Raw genomic sequence first — 24,045 nt, 5'->3', positions numbered from 1 at the left:
AGGCAGCAAAGAGGAAACTTCACAATAACTCGAATTAATATCCTCAGAGAGGTAGGAGAAGATATTGTGTTCTTAAAACACAGAAGATGTGATGAAAAAGAAGTAATTTTAGGACAAGAAAGAGCTCTTGGAAATCAAGTATATGTGAACTGAAAAAAAATTCATAGAAATGTTTGGAAGATGAAGTCAAGAAAATTTCTCAGAAAGCAGGGTAAAAAGTCCCAGAGATGGAAAAATAAGAGAAAAATGATAAAGAAAAATAGCAGATTTATCAACAAGTCTACTATCCAAATTATTGGAGTTTGGGGCAGAGAGCACCGTGGAAGCAGAGGGGTCTGTGTGTTCCTGGGTCAGTGTGGGGGCTCTAGGAGCAGGCTGTGTACAGGCATGGTGGGGAATAGCAGAAGGGCATGGCTGTGAAATTGCAAGTGAGCTGGAAGGACTGGGGGTGGATGCAGCAGACAGAGTGGGGGACGAGGCTGGACAGCAGTTGGGGTGGCAAGATCACGGAAGGGTGTGCATGGCAGGCTGGGCGCCTGGAGTTTCAGAAGCCAGATGGTGAGACCACCAGGGGTGGGAGGGGACTTACAGGCGCTCACATTGACCTCACTCGGGTTCATTGGTTCCTTGGCTCATGGGAGGAGAAGGTTCTTCTCTAGAAATTCCTACTCAATCCTTCTAATTACCTCAAAGAGGAGTCTCAATTGGACTCTAGTATCTCCTTAACTTTGGACGCTTGCTAATCTCCGCTTTTAGGGAAGAAAGAACAGACATTGTCAGGCACCCTTGGCAGGCAGTGGTGTTAGCTGGCACTTAACAGCATTTTTCTGGTCTCACTGTATTTATTTTTATGCTCACTGCTGTGGTTTGAACGTTGGTGTTCCCCCCCCGCCCCCGTCAATATTCATATGTTGAAACATGAGCCTCAATGCAATAGTATAAGAGGTGGAACCTTTAGGAGATGATTAAGCTGTGAAGACTCCACCCTCGTGAATGGATTAATACCCTTATAAAAGACGCTGAAGGGAGGTGCCTTGCCCTTTCTACCACTTAAGGACATACAGAAGCATCTTCTATGGGGAGCAGGCCCTCGCCAGACACTGATTCTTCAGTCTTGGACTTCCTCCCTCCAGAGTTGTGAGAAATAGATTTCTGTTGTTTATCAATGAACCAGTCTAAGGTATTGTGTCACAGCAGCCTGAATGGGCTAAGACATCAATCCATTCTATTATTAGTCCTTATATTTATGACAAACTCTTTCCTCTTTAAGGGACTGATGTGAAGCGTCTTTTTGAAACACACTTATCTTAGCAAAAAGCATTTTGTCTATTATAGAATGTTATTCAAATAGTAGTACAGATGATTTCCAGATAAAGCAAAAATCATGAAGATAGAGAATTAGTTTCCTAGGGCTTCTGTAACAAATGACCATGACTGAGTGGCTTCAAAATACAAAGGCCAGAATTTCAAAGTCAAGGTGTTACCCTGAAGTTCTAAGGGAGAACTCTTCTTGCCTCTTTCAGTTTCTGGTGGTTCCTGGCATTCCTTGGCTTGTGGCTGCATCACTCACTTCCCTGCTTCCATTTCACATGGCCTTCTCCCCTCTGCATTTCCTCTTCTGTCTCTTATAAAGACATCAGTCATTGGATTTAGGGCTCACTGTAATCCAGTATGACCTCATCCTTATTCTTACCGGCAAAGATCCTATTTTCAATTAAGGTTGCATTTTTGAGGTCTCAGGTGGACATTACTTTTGGGGGAACACAATTCAATTACAGTAGGTAGTATTTGTTGGTGTGTAGATAGAGCAGAAATCACAAAGGTTGAAACCATCTTGGAAGCATGATCATGGGGGACCCACATACTCAGATTGCAGAGACAGCACTTTGCTGTGTGGAGTGAGAATGGCAGAGAAGACTGCATCAGTCAAGATCTGGGACAAAATCGGTGGGATGGGGAGAGAGGCGGATTCCTGAGATATTTCCTAGGGGCCCTGCAGATGGGAGATAAGGGGGACACAAAGGTGTGTGGGCTGCTATGCAGGTGTCTGCTCCCAGTGATTCCCAGGTGTTTGGATGAGATTCATAATTAAATTGGTGGACTGGGTAAAGCAGGTTGCCTCCCTTAAGAGGGGGTGGGCCTTGTCCGATCAGTTGAAGGCCTGGCTAGAACAAAAGGTCTGATCTTCCCCTGAGAAAAAGGGAGTTTTTTCTGCCTGACTACCTTAAAACTGAGATATTGGCTTTTTACTACCTTCGGACTCAAACTGAAACATGGGGGTTTCTCTTGGGTCTTGAATCTGCCAGCTTTCAGGCAGAAACTACACCATTGGATCACATGGGTGTTGAACCTGCTGGCTCCCACTGCAGATCTTGGGACTTGCCAGTCTCCACAGTCATCTGAGCCAATTCCTCATGGTAAACCTTCCTTCCTACACACATATCCTATTGGTTCTGTTTCTCTGGAGAATCCTAATATAGCTGGGCGAGCTATATGCATGAGTGCCTAGAAACCAGAGCATCCTTTCCTTACTCTGTTTTCTGTTTGAGTCCCACTTGAGGCCAAATCACAGTTTCAAAGCTTTCTCCCCTCCCCACCCTCCACAAAGCTTTTTCTGGCTTTATAGGCTGACCCCACAGCAATTCCAATCACGACTCCCAACTGCTGTGAATGAAATACTTGACATATATTCAATATTCAATCTTTATTGACTTCAAATGAATGAAATGAGGATTCCTCATTTGGGTCATGGGTCTTATGTCCTGAAGAGGCTCAACCATGCTGAACCCAATCATAAACTTTATTGGGCTCATGGCAGAAAACTAGGCTTTCATGCTCCATAGCATAAAATCCCTTGCAAAAATCAATCTGAATTCAAGAAAGAAATACTGATGCGTGGCAGAAAGGAAGAGCTGGACCTATTAGTCTGAAATAACCGCCCCCCCCCCCAACTTTCTCCTGCTGAGGCCACGAGCTCGAAGTGTGTAGATGCAGTTATTACTGTAATGATACAGGTAGAGCTGAAATTTTATTAAATAGTCCACTGACCCAGAAAAGATGGGAACAGAGTTGTCATCTTCTCCTTTTTAAACATTCTGAAATTTTTGGTCTAGTGTATGATGAAATATTAGATTACTGACACTTTCCTTAATAGGATGGTAATATTGAATAGTAATGGCCGTGTCTCGAATGTGAATGTGTGCTAAGGGAGTGAGAGGTCGGGAGTCCTGGGCTACCTGAAGCTTCAGGGCTCCTGCAAAAAGAATGACAGCACCATCATGGCATTTTCGGTAAATTAACCAAGTCCACCTACAGCCCGGCTGGACAGAGATGGCAGGACCCAGGGAAGTACCCAGAGCTACAGCATGATTCAAAAGGTGCTGCTCCTCCTTCACTCATGGGTCAGACATTCATCAGAATCTGCACCTGACTCTCTGTTTCCACATTTACTGTTCTGTTGCTGCTTGCCACGGTCCCCAATCCTTTGACTTTACTTTCTCACATGTAAGCCCTTCTGACTGCAGGTATGCATTCTCCTCCAAGGGGTTGCTCAGCTGTTGGCTAAGGTTATAGTGTTTGTCCCTTCTGTGCCATCTGCTGTATCTGCTCGCCTGCCTGCAGGCATGAGTGTGACCAATGCAGCCCACATCCTGGCCTGTTTCCAGGGCTGGAGAGAAGTGGCTTGTGCCCAGAAGGACATCTCTGCAGTCACCTGTGTGTGTTCTGCATGGAGGTGCTTTCAGCCCCATGGGGTATTGCCACCACCTGGGAAATGAGCTTACACAGTACTTTTGTCTGAATTGGGAAAAGACTCCCTCCAGAGAGAGAGGTCAGCAAACTCTGTCCTGGGGCTCAAGTCTTGATTTTGGAAATACAGTTTCATTGGAACTCAGTCAATGCTGTTCACAGATGCACTGTTTATTACGGCTGCTTTCTTGTTGCAGTGGCAGGGTTGAGTAATTTTGACAAAGACCCTGTGGTATGCAAGCCTGAAATATTTATGATCTGGCCCCTTTGGCAAATGTTTGCTTGGCACGCAGAGCACAGCCAGGGCTGGATTCCAGCCTCCCACCTCCCCTTCAGCCGGCTGGGCCTGGTGTTGTCTTTACAACAACCGCGCGAGGGAAATAAGACAAGAATCAGGCTCAGGAATGACAAAGACTCTCTCCTTAACCAAACTTTAGACAGGCTCCCCTGAACCTGCTTTTCTCCTAGGCCTCATCCTCGAGACCCATCTTTGGTTTGCTAAATCCAGTTTTAGCAAGATTCCTGCTAAGTCACTTTAGCAAGAAACCCTCACCTTTGATATTGGATCACCCTCCATATCTGATCCAATTCCTCCTCCCCTACCTTTGATGTATAAGCCCTTGGCCTGTCTTTAGCAGGAATCCTGTTAAGTCAGTTTATCAAGAAGCTCCCTACCTTGATGTCTCCTCTTAGTCATTTTCCATCTACTGATCCCTCCTTCTGCTCATTGGCTGTAATCCCAGCTGTCTTTGCTGTGATTCTGAGCTAAATTCCATTTCTCTGCAACATTGTGATAAACTTTACACTCACTGCAATAGTCCTGAATAAAGTCTTCCCTACCATTTTAACAAGTGTTAGAATATATACACACACACACACATATATATACATATATATACACATATATATACATATATATATATATACACACACACACATATATATATATTTAGATAGTGTCTTGCTTCGTCACCTAGGCTGGAGTGCAGTGGCATGATCATGGCTTACTGTAGCCTCGACCTCCTAGGCTCAAGTGATCCATCCATCTCAGCCTCCTGAGTAGCTGGGACTACAGGCATGCACCACCACATCTGGCTAATTTTTTTTATTTTTATTTTTTGTAGAGATGGGATTACTCCTGGGCTCAAGCAATCCATCCACCTCAGCCTCCCAAAGTGCTGGGATTACAGGCATGAGCCACTATGCCCGGCTGTCAGAATAATTTTTTTAAACAATTTTTTTTAACAGATGAGGTGAAAACCTCATTTGAGGTCCCATGGCCAGTACATAGCAACACTAGGGCTCCAACCCACGTTCTGTGGCAGTGAAGTCCAGTGACTTTGCTCTGTGTCACCTGCTTCTTGGAAGCATCCAAGCCCAGAAGCTTCTTTTACACACTGAACACTGGGCTTGACGTGGGGCTCCCATTTGCTTGAATAAGATTGTTCATCATTACAGAAGTGTAAACAAACCTCTGACTCACTCTCTTCACAACCATCTTTACCCATTGATGTCATTAGTCACTCTTTAGGATTTACCTCTCTCCAAAGAGTTTCTAAAGAATATATTCATTGATGTGTTTATTCATTCACAAATATGGTGCAGCTCCAATGTGGCAGGTACCAAGTCAGCCAATGATAATACCACAGCGAACAAGATGTCTGCAAGGAGCTTGCAGCCTGGTGAATTGCTCCATATAATTATATGATGAATTGCTCCATATAATTCTGCTTAATATACTCTTTGAGGGTCGGGCGTGGTGGCTCACGCCTGTAATCCCAGCACTTTGGGAGGCCGAGGCAGGCGGATCACCTGAGGTCAGGAGTTCGAGACAGCCTGACCAAAATGGTGAAACCCCGTCTCTACTAAAAATACAAAAAATTAGCCGGGCGTGATGGTGGCGCCTGTAGTCCCAGCTACTCGGGAGGCTGAGGCAGGAGAATGGCATGAACCCAGGAGGCGGAGCTTGCAGTGAGCAGAAATCGTGCCACTGCACTCCAGCCTGGGCGACAGAGCAAGACGCCGTCTCAAAAAAAAACAAACAAACAAACAAAAAAAATATACTCTTTGATAGCTACCTTGATGATTACTCTTAGCCTGTATCTGGAAACTGCACCTAATAGGATCATGATTGAAATCCTCATGTTGCCTGGCCACCAGGCTCAAGGAAGGGATGCATCAAATCTTGGCACAATTGGTCTGATGCCTGGCAACCATTCACCCCTCACCCCAAACTCTCATGTATTAATACAAAGACCATGAGGGTAGAGCAGAAACAAGCAGGCATGATGTGTCAGCATGAAGAAGGAGCTATACCTTTTCTTCCCCTGCCCATGAGGACGCCCACCTTCTGAAGCCAAGAGAGGGGCTAAAGAGTCCCACAGGTAGACATCAGAGCTGCCTGCAAGAACTGATGATTTGCATTCTGTCCCCTGGCTGCATGGTTTCTTGGGCAGTGAGCCTGCTGCCTGCCCTCTGCTGATCTAAGCAGCAGAAGAAAGAATGAAAATGAGATGTAGACAGATGAGCAAGAATTAGTTTTGGCTCCTAGATGACTGTGGCTTAACTAAAGGAAGAAATTTATGTCTCTCTCATGTAGAAATCTAGAGGTAAATGATTTGGAGCTGGTCCCTCAGCTGGGCACTGTGAAATCTTTGGGGGAACCAGGCTCACTCTGCCATGCTTAGGGTGTGGTTCTCTACCCACTAGGATGAAGCTCTGGGCCTCATATCTCCAATCCAAGCAGCGAGATGGAAGAAGAGTGGGAGGAGAGGCGAAGAGTAAGTGTCAGCCAGATCTTCAAGGAGTTCTTAGAAGCTGCCTTGCCATGTTTCCGCTCACACCTCATTGGCTAGGACCCAGTCACACAATCACAGCTAATGCAAGGGAGGCAGGGATTGTGGGGTGCGATGTGGACAGCTCTGTGTCCACATGCCCAGCTACAATTCTAATACTACAGACCATGGGAAGGACAGCTGCTGGAGGACAGTAGCCATCTTTGCCACAGCAAGGAAGAGAAGAGGAGAGTGGGAAAGCAACCCCTCCTCTGCCCCAGCATCTGGCATGGCAAGGATGAATGAGCTTCCTGCGGAGCATATGAAAGCATTTAGCTGGGCTTGCACAGTGTCCCCAGGCAAGAGGACACCAGCAGTGGATTTCTGGGGTGTTTTTCAGAGGACAGGAACTGCAGGAAGGTGGAAGATGGAGGGTTCACCCTGGAATACTCATGCCAAGCAGTCCCTGCCAGCCCTCTTAAGAACTCACTCATGACTCATGAGAGATGAGGCCATCGACCACCAAGGCTACCTGGGTTTACATCCCCTATGACCTTGGGCACATTGCAGTGCCTCTCTGTACCTGAGTGCTCTCATTTATAATTAGGAATAATAGTAGACCTAACTCATGACGTTGTTGTGAGGATTAGTGAGTTACTGAAAGCAAAGCCCTTATCATTTATAATTAGGAATAATAGTAGACCTAACTCATGACGTTGTGTGAGGATTAGTGAGTTACTGAAAGCAAAGCCCTTATCATTTATAATTAGGAATAATAGTAGACCTAACTCATGACGTTGTGTGAGGATTAGTGAGTTACTGAAAGCAAAGCCCTTATTATTTATAATTAGGAATAATAGTAGACCTAACTCATGACGTTGTGTGAGGATTAGTGAGTTACTGAAAGCAAAGCCCTTAGAGGCAGACCTAACAAGTGGTGAGTTTGCCATTGTGATTACTATTGGGACACCTCCGGGTAGAGGATGTCAAAATCCAGTCACCCAACAGCAAAAGGACGAACATGGGTTTTGCTTTCCATTTCCTTTCCATCTCTCCCCTCTTTGACTTACACATTAGAGATGCAAGAAACCCAGAAGAGGTAGAAATCGGGGGTGGGTATCTCAGAGGCAGACCCTGACCTCCACACTCACATTTCAAGGTAAGAGACAGAGGGAAAAGAAACGACGGAGCAGTGAAGCCCCCTCCCCACCTCAGGTTCCTTAAGCCACCCCTGGGCGGCGATGTGGACAGGGAGAGGTCTGAATCTTATATGAGATTGGAGTTTTAAACTGGACTAGATTGGACTTGTAATTATTAAAGTTTTCTGGAATATAATGGAATCCACCCAAGATGGGCTCTGCTGTCCAGCAGAGAAAAGACATTTGCCATGGCACAAACGGGAAAGGATACAATAAAAATAAAGACTATTTTATTTAAATAGACCAGTGGCAGAGATCACATAATAAACTGGCCATGCGCACATTCTTCTTTTAAAAGTTGACCTGTACTCAGCAGGGTTTAGCAGCCCTATGGGTGGCTTGACTGGGTTGATATCAACAAGCCAGAGGGAGCTTTAGCATTGAGGCAGTTGAGTCTGCTGGCCTTCCAGCCCTATGCTCCATTCACATACCCGTCCTTTCTACAGCATCCTACTCAGCGACCCCCCAGCCTCCACTAACATGTGGTCAATAAGGAGCAAGCTGCAGTCTCGAAAGAGTGTTGGCTACAGGAATGGATAGCTCAAAACCCTTCTCTACCTGATGCAGAGTCCACCCACCATCCCCGTCACGTTCACCCTTTTGCTCCAGTTCTGTCTGTGCAACCACACATTTAAGCATCTTTCCTCTTCTGTTTGACAAATCAAAAGGCATAAAGAACTATCCTGGAGCTGCCCTGTGGTATTTCCAAACCATGAGGCTAACCGACCTTTCACTGGACGGTGACAAGAGCAACTTCAATGTCTTACGAAAGGCCCGTGTGTTACATTTCTATTTTAGCTTAGTTCTAGGGGGAAATGTGAATTCTTTCCAGGAGAAAAAGAAGTTTTTCTTTTTTTTCTTCTGCAATTAAAATCTAAACATGGAGAGAAGGGGAGGTGGAGGACACTGGAGTTGGCAGATGTGAGTTTAAACTCCCTTCACTACTTACTATCATTTTAATCTTCTACAACCTACTTAACTTTTCTGGGCCTTAATGCTCATAGCTGCTAAATGGGAGGGGTGTGGCTAAGAATGCAACAAACCAGGTAGTGGTGGGGACTATATGAGAAGGTACACAGGATGCACCCAGTAGAACCCTGTAACACACTGGGTACGCAACGGATGGCAGCTACCATCAGGGCCACTACTGATATCGTTTACTCAGATTTGCTTTCCAAACTCAGTAGTCAAGGAATCTGGCATCAAGCTCAACAAAGACAAGGTCAGGATTTTGACCCATGTCTGCTTTTGTGAAATGCCCAGGGCTTTCACTCAATGTGATGTTTGCAAAGAGCCCATTAATAAGCCATTTGAGTCATCGCCTGGGCCGGGTGACTGGGCCACCCGTGCCTCTTGCCCTCCTCGGTAGGGTTGCTGTGCACATTTTTCCCTCATGGGTGTTGCCTTGGCACCTCCAAAGCATCCAGAATCTTCTGTGTTATCTTGTCTCATCTCCACTGTCAGCAACGGAAAAAAATGAGTATCCAGGAGATTAATAAGCTTGTTCCTGTGACTCAGAGATCAAGTGGCAGAGCCAAGCTCCAAGCTCAAGCTTTACTTCATAAATATTCCACTCTGTTTTAATTTTTCCTCCTTGTCAAACCCTTTGGGAAGGTAAGAGGAAGAAGGTGCGAGCAAACAGAATGAACTGTGAAGGAACACACCCAAGTCTCAGCACTCTTTCCCTTTATTGCTTCAACCCTCACAGCAATTCTGAGGCTGTCATCCCCATCCCCATTTTTAGGGATGCCAACTCTATCAAGGCCCAGGGGATTGAGGCCACTTTCTGCTCGGAGCACAGCCAATAGGTGGGGGATCAAGGGCCCTTGGCTCACCACCTCTCCTGCTCTCTTTCCATTGACAGGTTGGCCTAGTTTCTTTTGTAAGTAGGTTCCAGGTAGGCATGCATCCTACAGAAATAAATACACGGCAGGAGGAAGTATCCAGAGTCTGCGCAACTGTGAGTTGCCCATCAACTCTTCAGGCACATCTGTAAACACTGAGGAGTGTGGAGTGCTGAGTCACAATCTCTAAATCAAGTCCTTTCTCACGCTGCCCTTTAAAATCCCACGCCCTCGGCCTGATTGTTAACAGCATACCTTTGTGACATGCAAACACATGCACGCTCGCGTTTGTAACTTCCTCTCCCCAGTGACTCACTCATCAGTCCCTTTTGAAAAATGAGTAACATCAACAGCAAAGACAAGCTCCCAAGTTAACTTTTCAATGCTCCACGGGAAAATGGGTGTTAAAATGTTGAGAATGCCACCTGCTTCCACTTTCAATAGAAACTCTTTGTACTTTCATGCAACTGGTGGGGTTGAAGGTTTGCAAACATGAAAGTTTCCTCTCCAGCCCAGACTCTAATTTCACTGCTGTAAAACAGAGTGTTATTTGATATGCAGCTTTTTAAGAATGCAGGTGAACAGAATGAATGGTGAGAACATTGACAGACTTCTACAATAAGAATAAAAAGAGGTTATATTTAGTTTCCTTTAGAGAAATGTTAGAGGTTCTAATTGCTCAATTCCCTCACTTCCTCTGGACACACCAAGAACCTACTGTGTGCCAGGCACTGTGTGACACAGTGAAGAGTGCAAAATGCACCAAACAGTTCAAATGAGTAAACCCTTGGTCTGGTGGAGGAGGCAGATACGTAAATAAATCTTTTCTATTACAGAAGTATGCCAAAGTTCCGTGAAAACATAGAAGGGGAAGTAATTACATTGTTCAGTAGAATTTGGTAAGGCTTACTAAAGAGATAATATTTTTTGGCCCGATGCTGTGGCTCATGCCTGTAATCCCAGCACTTTGGGGGGGCCGAGGTGGGTGGATCACCTGAGGTCAGGAGTTTGAGACCAGCCAGGCCAACATGGTGAAACCCCATCTCCACTAAAAATACAAAAATTAGCCGGGTGTGGTGGTGGATGCCTGTAATCCCAGCTACTCGGGATGCTGAGGCAGGAGAATCGCTTGGACCCAGGAGGTAGAGGTTGCAGTGGGCCGAGATTGCACCATTGCACTCCAGCCTGGGCAACAAGAGCAAAAACTCCATCTAAATAATAATTAATAATAATAACATTTTTTTCCAGGCAGGGTTGCTAGAATGCTAGAAGTGAGACATTCAGGCTGAAAGACCATTGTGAACACATGGAGGCCTGAAGGTATATGTGTGGGTTGGGACTGGAGTAGCATTTTTCTTCTGCTTAGCATGATTTCCTGCTCTCTTCTTCTAGCTCCTTTGGGGATCCCTCTCCCTACTGAATATGATTCTAGAGGGGCTGTCCCTGGGGCACAGCCCACCAGACAGGTGGTACGTGGTTCAACTCATTCAGGGATAGTCACGTGACTCAGGCAGAACCAATCAGAATTTTCTCTTGGCTAGTTGTGCGACTCAAAAATAACCAATCAGAGTCTTCTCTTGGGTTGGTATATGAATTTGGTGAAAGAGAAACCCCCTTCCACTGTAATGGCCCAGCTGGACACAGGCAGTGGGGGTTTGCTGGCAGGCATGTTGCCAGCCCACTGAAGAGTGCATGTTTGACAAATGAAGCTAGCAGGGACCTGCAAAGCAGGATCTGTCTCTTTCCCCTTCTCTCTCTCTCTTTCACTGAGGCCCAATAATAATAATAACAGATATGCTGAACTTTATTTCTAAAATAAAATTATTTTTTCTTAAACTGGCTTGATTTGGGTTTCTATCATTCTGAATTTTTGTGCAAACAATTATGACAAGATGCTGTACCCTGGCAGCTTAAAGCACCAGTGGGAAAAGTGAGAATTAAGGGGGTCAAATCTTGAAGGATTTGAATGACAGTGCTAAGGCATTAAGACTTTGTCCTGTGGACAGTGGGGGGGGTCAGTGAATGTTTTTAAGAAGCAAAGTGATATGGTTTGATTTTTTTTTCAAAAGGATGCCTCCAGCAGGGGGATGGATCAATATATCTCTCATAATTCATTAGTTTATGTAAATATTGACAGAACCTTAACCTACTTAGTAGGGATAGAGAGAGAATACATATTTTGAAACTGCTGATTTCATCTGAATATGCCAGGAGGGAGTTTTCCTTCTCGGTAACTAAGATTATTTAATTAGCAATGAAAATTGGATTCTTCTATGGCAAATAATGGGTAAACACTTCAAAGGAAAATCTCTCACACAGCAGAACCCCCATAGGTAAGAGGACATGTGTCACAATTAGCAAGCACGTCTATTAATAAAGAAAACAAAAAATAGTCACAATACAAAGGCTCAAAAATGCTTTTCTCCACCCATAATTCTTTGGCTGATTAGAGCATGTTTGCTCCAGCTGATCTTCATAGTCTTGATCTAAAAGTCATTCTATTGTGGCCTAAAAGCCTCAGCCTTTGACAAGCCCTGTAATTTCTAAAAAAAAGCAATGTCAGGCTTAGTAACTGAGCTAAGACATGAACCTGGCACCAAGTCTGGAGTCTGCCTTTAATGGTTAAAATCTGCCCAGAACCCACAGGACACAGCTCATCAAGGCTTTGGACTCTCAGTCACACATCAGTGGCAGGATCTGGTGCCAACCCTGGATCACCCTGTGGCCTTGGCAAGTCATAGCTTCTGAATCTTTATTTTCTACACCTCTAAAAAAAGTGGAATCATAAAATATAGCCAAAGCGAAATAATAGGTGCATAAATTAAATTAAATGATGCAAGACCCTTTAAAGTTAAAATTCAAACTGTTGAAACATCTATATAAAAGATGTATTTATAAAATTTGTATACTTTCATGACTGCATTCTATGCTCACCCTTTAAACATTCCTGATAGGCACCGTGTTAGGCTTTGGGGATATATTGATGATGAGAACATGGGACAGAAACCTAGTGGAAGAAATGTGTTAAGTGAAGATGGCAGGAATGTGGTTGTATGTGAGATGCTTTGGCAGCAGAGAGGGCAAAGCACTGAGATCTCCAATGTGTTTCCTGTGAAGTCATGGTAGCTGTCATGCAGGGCATAATGCCTGAGTTTGGAGTGACAACACAACAAAGTTTTTGGGAAATCACCCAGGCAGTATGGAGGTTGAATTGATGAAAGCACTAAGTATAACCATAGAGACAAGGTTATACTAGTCATGTGCCTGGTAGTGATCAGATCTCCAGTGTCCAGGTGCCTTTGCCTCAGGGAAGGCACAGATGGAAGACTAGAGAGTGGAAATTGGGGAGGATTCAGGGTATTCACCCCAGCCTTCTTTGGGTATGCCTCTGGAAGAAATGCATCTCTTCCATTGCTGTTTTTCCAGCTTTTATCAAACAGCCCCTGCCTCCGTGGTGGCTGTCAGGCTTTCACCAAGCAGGTCTTCTGAAGGTCTAGTTTCCACTGCAGGGACCTGGCTGCTGCTAATCTCAGGGCTGTTCCATCATCCCATTTGCTCCACAATACAGAAGAAAGGCATCTGTGTCACTAATTTCTTGTACAAAGTGCCCTCTGTTTCAAAGACTCATGGTGGTTTCTGTCTTCTACCTGTACCCTTAGTTATCCAAAGGCGCATCAATTAGCCCAAATGAGAGATGGTGATGCATTGAGGCAGAGAGGTGAACCAGGAGGGTTTTGAATTTCAGTGGATGTTGGAATGGGAGAGGAAGAATTGGGGCACTTGACAATTTACAAATAGATCATGAGTGCATAAAGGCTGAAATTTATTCATTCAATGTCTGGGGCTTAGCTGACTGTCTATGACTTATTTGTGCCTTCATATCTGCGATTCCAACTTTAAATCGAGGAACACAAGTAAAATGTCTATTTTCAGCACCACGGAGAGTTCCTCGCTCCCAACATACAATTTTTATTGCTTAAAAATGTGTTCTATACATCTTGATGATGATGAAGTCTCTCATACATTAAAGTAAGCTTGTTTACTATTCCAGAGATAAATTTAGTTTCTGCACCAAAACATTTATAATTTTCAAGTTCGTTTCATGGTGGTGAAAAAAGGAAGCAACCTCAATTAGTATGAATATGAAAGGTTAATTCTAATGGTTAGCATCTTCCAAACTGCAATGCTGATTTTGACATTATGTTTTATATGTGTATCACATGATATTAATATTTGTAGCCATCTCCTAATGATCTACCCCGACCTAAATCTTTACCCTCCTAGAATACCCGCTATGTATGTCTTCCCAGAGTACACCATTGCTTTCCCATGGCCTATATAATAAAATCAGAATTCCTTAGTCCAGCAGTTTAAGCTCTTTATTATAGAATTCTAGTCCAGTTTAAGCTCTTTATTACAGAATTCTAGTCCAGACGTTCTTCAAAAAAAATTGAAATAGGCCAAGCAATATGGCCTATGCCATTGATCCTTGGTCGGAGGATCACTTCAGCCCAGGAGTTTGAGACCAGCCTGGGCAACATAGTGAGACCCCATCTCTATAGAAAAATTAGCTGGGCATGATGGCACACACCTATGGTCGCAGATACTTGGGATGCTGAGGTGCGGGTGTTGCTTGAGACTGGGAGGTCGAGGCTGCAGCGAGCCACGATCATGCCACTGCACTCCAGCCTGGATGACACCATAAATAAAATCAAAAATAAAAATAGAAAATTAAAATAGAATTACTATATGATCCAGCAATTCCACTTGTGAATATATACCCAGAAGAACTGAAAGCAGGGTGTCAAAGAGATATCTGTACATTTAAGTTTACAGCAGTATTATTCACAATAGCCAAAAGGTGGGAGCAAGCCAAGTGTCCATTGACCAACGAATGGATAAACAAAATGTGATACAACCATACAATGCAATATCATTCTACATGCTGCATAGATGTACACATGCTACAACATATATGAACCTTGCAGATATTATGTTAAGTGAAAGAAGCCAGTCACAAAAGGACGAAGACTGTATGATTCTACTTATATGAAGTACCTAGTACCCATAGTCAAAATCATAGAGACAGAGTAGAATGGCAGTTACCAGGGACTGGGTAGAGGAGTGAATTGTTTAGTGGATACAGAATTTCGGTTTTGCAAAATGAGGAGTTCTGGAGATTGGTTGCACAGCATTGACAATGGACTTAATACTCTTAAAAACTGTTAAGGTGCTAAATTATCTGTTATGTGTATTTTACCACAGCTTTTGTTTTTGTTGTTGTTGTTTTTGTTTGTTTGAGACGGAGTTTTGCTCTTGTTGCCCAGGCTGGAGTGCAATGGCACAATCTCGGTTCACTGCGTCCTCCACCTCCCTGGTTCAAGCGATTCTCCTGCCTCAGCCTCCCGAGTAGCTGGGATTACAGGCATGTGCCACCATGCCCAGCTAACTTTTAAAAACCCCACATCTTTATTCCAGCTTTCCAGCTTCATTCTCTCCCAGCTATAAAACCATAAAACATGCTGTGTACCTCTTGCATCAGTAATGGCCCCAACACCCCACATCTCCAATTATCAGACAACAACCAGCCCCTCACAGTAGAGCGCACACACGGTCTATTCTACAAAGGGTGTCTGATCTCACCTGCACTCCCTCCTCTGGCTGGTCCAGTGACATTCTCTTGACATAGGGCTTTCCCTCTCAAAGCACTTGGCACTGTCTTCGTTGTTATTGTAATCTGTGAGCGTATCTAGTCTTTTCCCTGCTGGGCATGGAGTACTTTGAAGGCTGGCATGGTTCTGCCCCCATGGAGTGCTTTTCAGGTTGGCATGGTTGTGCCCTAATTCTGTCATCCCAGAACGTGGCACTGGGTCTGGCACTTCACAATGGAATTTTTGAAATGGACAAGTGTTCTTTGAGTCTGTCTTTCCAGGCAACTGAACTGTGGCTGGTTTGGCCAAAAGAGGTATACGGCGGGTTATCTGAGCTTCCATTGGAATATTCCTCTGATCTCCAGCAAGAGCCTTGCCTTCTCATCACCTGTAGGTAGAAAGGCTGCTTCACTCTCCTCCTGCCTGTAGTCCATCTTCCACACAGCAGCCTGAATGATCCTCTAAAAAGCAGCCAGTGTGCTCCTCTATCGAAAGCATAGATTGAACCATGTTTCTTCACTGCTGAAAACTGGCAATAGCTTTCCACTCTCTCAGAGTAAAAGCAGAGGCTGATAAGTCCCTATTACCTCATGTCTCACCTTTCCCCCTGGCCTGGCCTCCTACCACTCTCCCAATATTCATGTTGCTCCAGCTGCACTGGTCTGCTCGCTGTTCCTGAGGCAACCAAGCACACTTCCTCTTGGAGCCTCCATACCTCCGCCTGGAAATGTTGCCACCTCACCCCTCAGTTCCTCCAGCTCTTTACTCACATGTCCCTGTATCAGAGAGGTCTTTCTCTGGTCTCTGTAATACAGCAGCAAAACAGACCCCCTCCTGTGGCCCTTTCTGTGCTCCTATAGTATTTCACAGCACTTATCACTGCCTGACATGTTACATACACAGATTTTTCTTTGTTGTTTGCCTCCCTCCACTAGAACATATGCACTAAGATGGCAGAAACTTGATCATTAGTTCACTGCTGCATCATTAGACTGGCATGATGTAGGTGCTTGGTACATCACTATTGAGTGCACAGGTGGATGGAGGGAGGGAGGGAGGGAGGGAGGGAGGGAGGGTTGGATGAGTGGTTGGATGAGTGGATGGATGGGTGGATGGGTGGATGGATGGGTAGATGAGTGAGTGGATGAATGAATAGCTCAGCTTTTCCAAGACTGCACAAGCTGTCAGGTTGAGCATGAGGAATAGAACAGCAAGTTCCATGGGTAGTATCACCAACCTATAAATATGGAAAAATACACCATTTTCCTCTTTAATTTCCTGCTCTTAACCCCAATCTGACTTTAAGGAACGGTTTCAAAAATGCTTATGGCAATTATTACAAGATAAAGCACACATTTAATAACCTTGCACTCAAGGTCCTGCACAAGAAGACTTGAAGTGAGCCCACGTAGAACATTTGCTGATCAATGAATCTGCCAACCCCTTTCCTGTGTTAATTCCTCCTCCTGAAAAAATGTTCTCCACCATCTGTACCTATCAAAATCCTATTCAGACTTCAAAGCTCAGCTTCTGTATGAGCCCAGGCAAAACATAAAGTATATGTGTTAACCCACTCCTTAGAAGTCTCAGAGCACTTTGTCACTACCTGTCTCTGTTATTATTCATACCTTTTCTAGCCCTACATTTTCCTCACTTTCAAGATGGGGAAAGGGAGGCTGCACTGGATTGTAACATGATATAAATATATGCAACTGTGTGCCTTTGTGTGCCTGTGTGTGTGTGTGTGTGTGTGCATGTGTGTGAATGTGTCCTGGCATGTCCTGGAGGTAACAGCCCAAATATGCTATCTGCTATTATCAATATCCAATGATCTCCTTCCACAAGGATTGAAGCCTCTCAAGGGTAGAGGGTTTTTTTTTCCATCTTAATGTCTTTGTTCTTAATGCCCAAGCTTTGAAACGTTCCCATTATTGTGTATTGAGTGCCTAGATTAACGAATGAAAGATTCCACTTGGGGAAGAGATTCAGAGCTGGAGGGAGAACACGGGAATAAAGCTTTAACCATCTTACTGTTCTCACTTTGTGCTGACATTTCCAAAATGCTGACCCGATTTACTGATGCCACATTCATCGTCTTGCTTTTGAACATCTTCTGTAAAACAGTTTCTAATTTATTGGATCCTTTTAAAGATTTGTTTCCTGCTTTCATATTCTGCTCTCAGATTTCATTCCAGTTTCTCTGACGTTAACTTACGACCCAAGTCCCTATTTCCAAAATTTATTATCTAACATAAACACTCTCCACCCAATTGCGGGTGCAATTTATACCTAGGAGATGGAACAATCCCTTTAGGGAATAAATTGGATTCTCTTGTATCTCACTTTTCTGTCATCACAGAACCATAAATTCTCAAAATGCTAGCCTGTGACATAAGGGAAACCAAAGCTCTGTGCCCAGAAATGACTAAGTTGTGCCTTAAATTGAATTGGAATTTTCATCCTAAATGACACATCTGCATGTCTTCCATTTTTTTTCGTCTGAATACTTCTTTCTAGTTGATATGACCCCTGAACCACAGGGTAATGAAAGAGTACTGCTTAAGTCGTTCTTTAACCAGATGACAATTGGCAATTTATTTTTGGTACAGTGATGGGAGGTGTGGTGGGGAGCTATCTGGGATACAAAAATAGGTTATCAGTTTTCCCCCTGTTTACTAATTATTACTATCTCATTATTGATCTTATTGAGGCTTAGTATGTGATAGACAACATACTAACACCAGAAAGTGAAACTAGCAGGTCAGAATGTGTGAATATTTAAAAAGTACTTGATTCTTATGGCCAGATGTCATTCCAAAAGGGCTGTAACAGTTTTTACTGCCATTAGTAAATATATGTTCAGACTGCCCAGAGAACATTTTTTTTTTTAGAATGTTTTGTCTTAGGAAACATCCCCTTCCCTCAAAATGCAAAACCCAATCTGGGTCATCATCTCCTAAAAGCCTGGTTGATCCTTGATGCCAGATTTTATCCTTGCTCCTTGGTGTTCTGTACTCTGACCTGGCACCTCCCAAATCAACTGTAGTTGTCATCACACACCTGCCTCCCTAGGCCAACTGTGAGCCCCATGGCAGGCACATGGTAGTGCTCAAAGCGTACTCACAGTGTCTGGGTTTTGAAGAAAGGGACCGTGTATTTATCCATTGTAGTTTCTACTGCGCTGTCTAGAACACAGTACATTCCAATTAAATGTGACTGACTGAATGTGAACCTGCCATTTGGTTTACTTCAGAGCCTGCCAGGGCAGAAAGAACTTGCTGTGTGAGCAAATCCTTTCAATTCCTGGGGCCTCAAGCCTTCACTCAAGGTGTGTGTATATATATGTGTGTGTGTGTGTGTGTGTGTATACGTGTGTGTGTGTATATGTGTGTATATATGTGTGTGTGTATATATGTGTGTGTGTGTGTGTGTATATATATATATATACACATATGAGAGAGAGAGTTTCACTCTTGTTGCCCAGGCTGGAGTGCAATGGCACGATCTCGGCTCACTGCAGCCTCTACCTCCTGGGTTCAAGTGATTCCCCTGCCTCAGCCTCCTGAGTAGCTGGGACTACAGGTGTGTGCCACCACGTCTGGCTAATTTTTTGTATTTTCAGTGGAGATGGGTTTTCACCATGTTGGCCAGACTGGTCTCGAACTCCTGACCCCAGGTGATACACCTGCCTCGGTTTCCCAAAGTGCTGGGATTACAGGCGTGAGCCACCGCGCCCAGCAATATACACTTATTAAACACCTACCGTGTGCTGAGACCTATAATAGGTAACCAGGAAATAGAGGTAATTCCAGAAGGACCGCCTGGTTGCAAATTTGGATGTGTCATATACACAATAAGCGACTGCAGGGAAGCCCTAGTGAAGGGGTGAATGTAGCGCATAACAAGGCTCAAAGAGGGGTCCACCCAGCTCTTCCTGGGGCACTCGGGAATCTTCGCAAAGCAGTAGTCCTGGAGCCAGAACATGATTGTAGTGGGCTGAATGGTGTCTTCCCAAATCTATGTCCCAGTCCTAACCCTGCTGTCTGTGAATGTGACCTTATTTGGACATAGCGTATTTGAAGATGTAATTAAATTAGGTATCTGGAGATGAAATCATCCTGGATTTAGGGTGGGTCCTAAATCCAATGACTGGTGCTGTTTTAAGGGAAAGAGATATTTGAGACAGGAAGACAGGGAGGATGGGGTCATGTGAGGATGGAGGTAGAAATCAGAGTGATGCTGCCACAGGCTGAGGAATGCTACCAGAAGGCAAGAAAGGTGTCTCTCATCTGTCTCTCCCTTCCATGCAGTCAGATATAAAGCCACCTCCTCCCTGATCTATTTCTCACATTGCAGCCCTGCCCAGGGAGGTGGTCACAGCCAGGGTGTGGGTCTGCTCAGTGCTTGACATGGAACCAGCCAATCCCAGTGCCTGCCTCTCTCAGTGGCATCCTCCTGGGTACATTTGGCCTCTGGTCTGAAGGTGCTGAGTCCTAACTAGCTCAGCAGAATGAGGTTCCCTGTCCTCCACTGCTGCTCCTAGAAATGTCTTCATCAAGGTTTAGGGCTCCAGCTCAGCTATAAATAAAGTGGTGCTTGAGGTTTCTGTAGGATTGTGTTCCTCAAGGAAGTTGAGAGGTTGCATAGCTGTGGTTCAGGGAAGGATTCAGGTATCATATCTTCTTAATGTAGTGATTCTCCTCCAGGGGTGATATCACTCTCTGGAGCACATTTGATGATGTGTGGAGATATTTTTGATTATCACAACTTGGGGGAAAGGAGTGGGAGATGCTTCAGGCATCTAGGGTGGGGAAGCCACAGCTCCACCTAAACATCCCACAGTGCACAGGACAGCCCCCATAACAAGGGATTATCTGGTCCAAAATATCAATAATGTCAAGGTTGATAAATTCTGCCAGTGCCTTCAGAATCTCATCATAAGTTCTGACAGATAAGAAAAAGTTAACCAGGTGGATAGAACAAATAAAAGCATTTCTTAAAGAGAGATAATCATGCAAAGGAAGAAGAGAGGTAGAAAACATATGAACTTGGAAGAAATGGAGGTAGTCTGGGCATGTAGACTACTAGGGTCTGTGCATGGAGCCAGACGAGGGTTGCAAGAGTCAAGTCTGGAGAGATGGGCACGGGGCAGGCTTATATATAAGGTCCTCATATATTATAACGATAATAGCAGTGGGCATTTTCACAGTGGCTCACATTTTTGATCACTCACTAGGTACTAAGCTTAAACATGCATCACACGTTATTTCAGTTTGTTTTCTCAACATCCCTGTGGGGTAGAGGATTCGTTTCCTGTTGCTGCTTTAACAAATTACTCCAAACTTCACGGATAGAAACAACAAAATGTATCTGGAGGTCAGAAGAACAGCATGGAAAGTCAAGGTTTTGTCAGGGCTGTGTCCCTTCTGGAGGCTCTTAGGGAGAATGTTTCCCTCCCTCTTCCAGGTTCTAGAGGTGTCTGCATTTCTTGGCTCATGAAATCATCAAAGCCAGCTACAGCGGATTAAGGTTTGAGTCTTTCTCATGTTGCATCAGTTTGACACCCACTTCTGCCTCCCTCTTTCACTTTATTTTTTAGTTTTTATATTAATTTTTAAAAATTTAATTTATACATATTTGACCTATTTATGGGGTACATACAATTTTTTAATGTGCATAGAATATGTAATGTTCAAGTCAGAATATTTGGGATATCCATCACCTTGAGTATTTATCATTTCTATGAGAAATATGAAGTATTTTAAGTATTTTAAGTTTTAAGGGAACAATTTAAGTTCAAGCTCCTAGCTACTTTGAAATATACAATATAATGTTGCTAACGAGTCACCCTTCTCTGCTATGGAGCATTAGAACTCACACCTTCCATTGGGGCCAGGCGTGGTGGTCACGCCTGTAATCCCAGCACTTTGAGAGGTCAAGGTGGGCGGATCACCTGAAGTCAGGAGTTTGAGACCAGCCTGGCCAACATGGCAAAACCTTGTCTGTACTAAAAACATAAAAATTAGCTGGATGTGGTGGCATATGCCTGTAATCCCAGCTACTCAGGAGACTGAGGCAGGAGAATCCCTTGAACCCAGGAGGTGGAGGTTGCAGGGAGCTGAGATGGCGCCACTGCAGTCCAGCCTGGGCCACAGAGTGAGACTCCATCTAAAATTGTACACATAGATCTATTTTTCTTCACCCCCTGCAATCTACATACCCTCTCCAGCCTCTGGCATCTACCATTCTACTTTCTATCTCCATGGGATCAATATTTTCAGCTCTTGCACATGAGTAAGAACACTCACAATTTGTCCTTGTGTGTCTGGCTTATTTCACTTAACATAATGACTTCCAGTTCCATCCATGTTGCTGCAAATGACATGATTTCATTCTGTTTCACGGCTGAATAGAATTCCAGTGTGTCTATGTATCACATTTTCTTTATCCATTTGTCTGCCAATGGACACTTAGGTTGATTCCGTATCTTCGCAATTGTGAATAGTGTGGCAATAAATATTGGCATGCCTGTATCCCTTTGATATACTGATTCATTTCCTTTTCATAAACACCCAGTAGTGGGATTCCTGGATCAGATGGTAGTTCTAGTTTTTTGGAAATCTCCATACTGTTTTCCATGGTAGTTGTACTGAATTACATTCCCACCAACAGTGTATCAGAGGTCTCTTTTCTTTACATCCTCACCAGCATCTGCTATTATTTTGTCCTTTTAGTAGTAGTCATTCTAACTGGGGTAAGATAATATCTTCTTGTTCTTTTGATTTTCATTTCCCTGATGATTAGTGATGTTGAGCAGTTTTTCATATACCTGTTGGTCATTTTTATGTCTTCTTTTGAGAAATATCTATTCATGTCATTTGCCCACTTTTTATTTTTATTTTTTTTTTTTACTGTTGAGTTCCTTGTATACTCTGGATATTAGTCCTTTGTCAGATGAATAGTTTACAAATATTTTCTCCCATTCAAAATGTTGCCTCTTCACTGTATTAATTGCTTCCTTTGTTGTGAAGAAGCTTTTTAGTTTAATATAGTACCATTTGTCTATTTTCATTTCCATTGTCTGTGCTTGAGGTCTTAGTCATCAAATCTTTGCCTAGAGCAATATCCTGAATTGTTTTCCTTGTTTTCTTCCAGTAGTTTTATAGTTTATTGTCTTACATATAAGTCTTTAATCCACCTTGAGTTGTTTTTTGTATATGGTGAGAGATGAGTCCAGTTTCATTCTTCTGCATATGATATACAGTTCTCCTAGCACCATTTATTGAAGAGGGTGTTGTTTCCCCAGGTACGTTCTTGGCATCTTGGTCAAAAATCAGTTACCTTAAATATGTGGATTTATTTCTGTATTTTCTATTTTTTTCCCATTGATCTATGTGTCTATTTTCATGCCAAAAATATACTGTTTTGGTTATAATAGCCTTATGATATTCTGAAGTCAGTTATTTTGATGCCTCAAGCTTTGTCCTTTATGCTTAGGATTGCGTTGGCTATTTGGGCTCTTTTGTGGTTCCCTATGAATTTCGGATTGTTTTTTCTATTCCTGTGAAAAATGATGTTGGTATTTTCATAGAGATTGCTGTGAATCTGTAGATTGCTTTGGGTAGTATGGTCATTTTAACAATATTAGCTAGTTAATTATTGATGAATCGAAACTGATGATTTTTGTATGATGATTTTGTATCTAGCCACTTTACTCGATTTATCAGATCTAAGAGTATTTTGGTGCAGTCTTTCGGTTTTTCTAGATATCATATCATATCATCAGCAAAGAGGGACAAATGACTTCTTTTTTAGTTTGGACGTTTTTTTTTTTTTTATTTCTTTCTCTTTTCTGATTGCTTTGGTCATGATTTTCAGTACTATGTTGAATAGGAGTGGTAAAAGTGGCATTCTTGTCTGATTCCAGTTCCTAGGGGAAAGGATTTCAGCTTTGCCCCATTCAGTATGATGTTAGCTGGGGTTTTGTCACATATGGCCTTTATTTTGTTGAGGGATGTTTCTTCTATGCCTAGTCTATTGAGAGATTTTATCATGAAAGGATATTGAATTTTATCAAATTCTTTTCCTGCATCTATTTAGATGATCATTTGTTTTTCCTCCTTAATTTTGTTGATGTGATGTACTAAATTTACCGATTTGCATATGTTGAACCATCCTTGTGTTCCTGAGATAAATTCTACTTGATCATGTGGATTAATTTTTGATGTGTTGCTGGATTTGGTTTGCAAGTATTTTCTTGAGAATTTTTACGTCTAAGGTCATCAGGAATATTGGCCTATACTTTTCTTTTGTTGCTGTATCCTTGTCTGGTTTTGGTATCAAGGTAATGCTGTCCTCATAGAATATGTTAGGGAGAGTTTCTTTCTCTTCACTTTTCTAGAATAGTTTAAGGAAAACTTTGTTAGCTCTTTGGAAGTTTGGTATAATTTGGCAGTGAAGCCATCTGGTCCTGGACTTTTCTTTTTTGAGAGACTTTTTATTACTAATTCAATATCATTACTTGCTGTTGGTCTGCCCAGGTTTTCCATTTCTTCCTGATTTAATCTTGGTAGGTTGTATGTCTTCAGAAATTTATCTCCTTTAGGTTTTTTAGTTTGTTAGTGCATAATTGTTCATCATGGTATCTGATGATCTTTCGTATTTCTGTGTTATCAGTTGTAATGTCTTCTTTGTCATTTCTGATTTTATTTGGGTTTCTCTCTTTTTTCTTATTTAGTCAAGCTGGTGACATATCAATTTTATCTTTTCAAAAAACCAACTTTCTTTTTTGTTGATCATTTGTATTTGTTTAGTCCCTATTTCATTTATT

The 24,045-nt window shown here is 43.1% G+C and overlaps 1 protein-coding gene across 7 annotated transcripts in view, besides 3 other annotated features; it reads right to left on the bottom strand.

Annotated features, from left to right (window-relative positions):
- The window catches only part of STK32B (serine/threonine kinase 32B), a 481,604-nt gene that overhangs the window by 125,320 nt on the left and 332,239 nt on the right, over positions 1-24,045 (bottom strand). The window lies entirely within an intron of this gene.
- Positions 9,083-10,282: an enhancer, noted in NCBI's record as "P300/CBP strongly-dependent group 1 enhancer chr4:5367115-5368314 (GRCh37/hg19 assembly coordinates)". NCBI's record gives its function as "activates an origin of replication core promoter dependent on BRD2, BRD4, P300/CBP, MED14 and CDK7 cofactors, with strong dependence on P300/CBP, by STARR-seq in HCT116 cells {active_cell/tissue: HCT116}" and the evidence as "EXISTENCE:reporter gene assay evidence [ECO:0000049][PMID:35650434]".
- Positions 9,635-9,814: an enhancer, noted in NCBI's record as "active region_21239". NCBI's record gives its function as "activates an Ori minimal core promoter by ATAC-STARR-seq in GM12878 lymphoblastoid cells {active_cell/tissue: GM12878}" and the evidence as "EXISTENCE:reporter gene assay evidence [ECO:0000049][PMID:35858748]".
- Positions 9,825-9,904: an enhancer, noted in NCBI's record as "active region_21238". NCBI's record gives its function as "activates an Ori minimal core promoter by ATAC-STARR-seq in GM12878 lymphoblastoid cells {active_cell/tissue: GM12878}" and the evidence as "EXISTENCE:reporter gene assay evidence [ECO:0000049][PMID:35858748]".

Source organism: Homo sapiens, chromosome 4 (genome assembly GCF_000001405.40).
Source record: "Homo sapiens chromosome 4, GRCh38.p14 Primary Assembly".
Lineage (NCBI taxonomy): Eukaryota > Metazoa > Chordata > Mammalia > Primates > Hominidae > Homo > Homo sapiens.
Note: the sequence above shows the minus strand (reverse complement) of the source record. Positions and strands in the feature narration are given on the sequence as shown.